The sequence below is a fragment of the Homo sapiens genome, chromosome 16 (genome assembly GCF_000001405.40).
Source record: "Homo sapiens chromosome 16, GRCh38.p14 Primary Assembly".
Lineage (NCBI taxonomy): Eukaryota > Metazoa > Chordata > Mammalia > Primates > Hominidae > Homo > Homo sapiens.
This window is the reverse complement of record NC_000016.10, coordinates 48,876,568-48,880,663: the sequence shown is the minus strand read 5'-3', so window position 1 is coordinate 48,880,663 and position 4,096 is coordinate 48,876,568. Positions and strand designations below refer to the sequence as shown.

General features: G+C 45.3%; 1 annotated feature.

The window, feature by feature from the left end:
* Positions 431 to 1,759: an enhancer, noted in NCBI's record as "VISTA enhancer hs101". NCBI's record gives its function as "enhancer in: hindbrain (rhombencephalon)[3/3]" and the evidence as "EXISTENCE:transgenic organism evidence [ECO:0001131][PMID:17130149]".

Genomic DNA, 4,096 nt, shown 5'->3' with positions numbered 1-4,096 from the left:
GCCACAAGGTGAAAAGGGACCAAGCCTGAAGGTCATGCCCTATTGGGTCGGTTCTTCTCACAGGTCCAAGGACTCTTAGATCCATAGATGACCCTGGGAGGAGAAGTCTGGTCCATTCAACAGATAGGGAAACTGAGGTCCAGAGTCCCACACCAATCTGCAATCCCACATCCCTATACCCAGGGCCCTCCAACAGGTCTCCTGCAAACCAACCTCACCCTGCCTATAGCCTCCAGTGCTAGAAGCTTCCTAGAAGGAAGCAGAAATGCTTTTTCCAGAAGTTGACATACTTCTCTGTGTTGCTATTTGACAAGTAAATCCAGCATGCTGAGAGATGTCCCTGGGCCACCTTACAGATGGCAAATCAAATCCACTGGTTCCGCATACACCTGCTTCAGCATTATTCAGAACTTCCCGCCTTCTTCTGTGAGCCCAGGTGAAAAATTCAGACTTAATCCCTGGCAGACCAAATTAACCCCGCAAATTAGCCACACTGTTTGTGTAGCTCCTCCATCCTCCTGGGTCTGAGCGGCAGAGTGAGGAAGAAGGAGGCGGCTTAGCCAGACAGGTGGCACAGTGCAGGCGACAGCCTACAGGGCTTGCTCATATTTAAAACTTCCTTTCATATATTTTTAATAAAACAACTGATACAAATTCAAAACCAACTTCATAAATCAAACATTATTCAATGTTGGCGGCTTAAAGGTTTCCCTGGCGCTTGGCTGGGAGCACGCAGCTCTCCCAGATGGGGGCTTTGCACTCGAGCGCTTGAGGTTTTGTGAAACGTTTATTGGATTTCATAGTCCCTTAAGGGGAAACCCTTTAAATGTCTTTGCAATTATAAGTCTAATAACACTTTCAGCCCTTGGACACAGCCTTGACTTGACAGAGATAAGGAACTCGAAGTTGCTCAGTCAATACCAAGCTATTAATCTCTGTCACCTCGCTGTCACTGCCGCTCAGGAAAACAATGTCGTTTCTTGACCTAGGTGAAGGCATGGAGTGATTTTATTCAGAATGTCAGCATTTATCAACCCAGATTTTGTCACTCCCTCACTCCCTTGAAGAAGTCCCAGTTCTTCATCCTGCCTGTGTTGACACCCTTCCAATAGAAAGAGTTGCTTTCAGTCTTGGCCTATTATTATTATTTAGCACTTATTCAAGTGTAAAAAGCCTCTAAGAATAAAGTTTTTCTCTGTACAGAGACCTGGCAGACAAATCACTTTATGCTGCTCTTTGGCAACCCAAGCCAAGGACGGCTGGAAATTACCAAATGCCATGTTTGTTTACATATTCAAATGAAGGTTAATTTTTATCCTGTCTTTGCTCAAATTTGATTAGGGTGGGGCTCTCCTCCCTCCCTCAGTGGTATATTTATATCAGCATCCTTCTCCTCGACCTTGAAAGAAACCCAAGAAATTGTTTAAAAGAAAAGCCAACAAAAATCCTAATGAAAAACTAACAAGGAAGAATCAAATTGTTCCTGGCAGGGCAGCCAGCCATCCTTCATGCTGTATTCAAGAATAATAGGAAACGCCTGGTTTTGCCCAGCAGGAACCTGGACTCTTGGGCACAGGGTGAGGTGAAGCAATGGTGGGGGCACCCACCCTAAAGCACATGGTGCTGTCAAGGTGGAGGAGCTGCCAGTCAGGCTTCCAAAGGCTTGTGTCTGTGCTCAGGAACTGGGCTTGGAGAACTGACACTCCAGAGTGTCAATTATGGCTCCATGGAATGCCTTGGAGGCTTTGGAGGTATGAGGTACAGGATCAGGCAGGGCTCCAGGCCCCTCAACCTCCAATTGTATCTGTTTCATAGAGTACACCTCTGAATCAGAGTTTATTTAGACTATGTTGGAGCCCTCAGAAGTCTCAGATTAACAAAAAGAGCAGTCATGGAAACATGCTTCTGTCTTTACAGCCAACTAGTGCTAAGCACCTTCTCCTGGTGTTCATAAATAGTTCCTGTCTAAGGATCTCAAATAGATAGTAATGCAGTATAAAAACACAAACTAAACCAAATAAAACAACAGCATCAAAAGCCTTGTTTCCCTTGATGAAACTGAGAGTTTTCCTCTTTTATCATGGTTGCCAGGAAGCTCAAGCTGAAATTATCTATTAGAGCTGGCATGTTGGCATTAAATTTTGGTTTCAGTTTTATTCTGTTGCTTGTATTTCGGCAACTTGTTGTCATGTCCTCTGCTATAGGTCCCTTTGAGTCCCTTTTCCACAGATATAGAGTTCAGATGAATAAATAAATATCCATGAGCTGTAGGACAGAGCCAAAGGCTGGGACTTGGTAGACGAAGGTGTGGTTCCAGCTCTGCCTCTGATTTCCCTGAGGTTTGGGCAAGTATAAGTTGGGCCTCAGCTTTCTCATCCAGAAAATGAGGGGACTGAAACAAAGCTAGTCCCAAGTCACTCACCTCTTTTTCCAGATGCCCCCACTGGCTCAGGGCCCATGAATGAGCAGAACATGGAGACAAAGAGGAGGAACTCTGAGCCATCCTGTTCCCCCAAGGTATAGGGTGACCAACTCTACCCAGTTTTCCTGGAACTTTCCAGGTTTTAGCACTGAAAGTCCCACGTCCCAGGAAACCCCTCAGCATCAGGCAAACCAGGATGCTTCGTCACCCTACAGGTTCACCTGCGAGCTTGCCACTTAACTAGCTATGCCACCTTGGACAAGTAACCTAAGTCACTTATGCCTCATCTTCCTCCATCTTTAAAATGAGGTTATCAGCAGAGCACCTCCTGGTGTTGTTGTAAGTCTTAAACACGTTCATATTTCATAAGAGCACAAAGAACAGTACTTGGCACTTTGAATGCACCACATGAGTGTTTGTTAAATAAATTCTACAGCCATTTGCTTCCTACTCAAGTCAGGGAGATTTCTCAAAATAATTATTTATTTAAAAAAGAAAGAAAGGAAAGCTACCCTGATACACATCAAAGAAAGACCAGTTGTTTTGTGGGAGGAGATTATCTATCTGTGCGCCATTCTGGGATAGAGTGGAGGCACAGCCACCACGGAGAGCTAGGGCTGTGTGAGACTCGGGGAAACCCCTCACCCTGGACAAAAGGATAAAACCCACCCTCCCTGCACAGAGAGGCCAAGAAGCCAGCCACTCTCAATGTTTTCTTGGTGCTTACAGTTATCAGGAAAAGAGGCTGGTTTCTACTAGGGATGTCAGTCAGATCATTGCTTAGAGAGTATCAGGGAAATAAATTAAGTTTAGACGTCACTGCCCATTCCTGCTGAGAACCTGGAATGGGGATACTGGGTAGGTGGCGAGTGGAGCCCTAGGGTTGCTGGGGACCCCACAAAGCCCAGCAATGCTGAGCTGCCCAAATAGTATGGGGCAGATGCCCAATAAAAGGCTGCTTCCCTCACAGCCCATCTGTCTTTATCAGGCAACCCTTGTGCACCCAGCCTGAGTAGCTCCTGCCCTCCAAGAATTGAACTCTTAACTTGGCAGGCAAAACTCACAGGCTCTGAGTCCCTTGCCCAGAATTTGCTTCTGCTTTTAATTGTTTTGTCTCCATCTCTCCTCCCAAGCAATAAGCAAAACTTTCCCAAGGCTTGGAGCAACCCCCAGCCCCTTTTTCCTCATGTGTCCTGTGCAGAGCCTGGCACTGGGGCTGGCATCTTAGAGATTATCAAGCAATTTCTTTTGCACACATGCTGACTCCGTAATTGAAAGGAGAGATGGTCGAGAGCTATACTGTCCAATACGGTAGCCATGCATCACCATGCAACTATTTAAACGAATTAAATAGGAAATTGAGCTCATTGGTTGCATTAACCACATTTGTTCAATAGCCACATGTGGTTAGTGGCTACCGTATTTCATGGCGTGGTTCCATTATCACAGGAAGTTTTATTGGACCGAGCTTATCTAGAGCATATGAAGAGAAAGGAGGTTATTAAACTGGGAAGGACCCATCCTCCTATAAGCTCTACCCTCAAGGATTACAGTTTTTCTGAGATTGAGACATAGGCCAGAATGGGCCTGGCAGAATCTTAGAAGATTATATTGATCTAGAATATCTTCCATATCTTAGAAATTACCTAATGTCACAGGTAAAGACTGATTCCT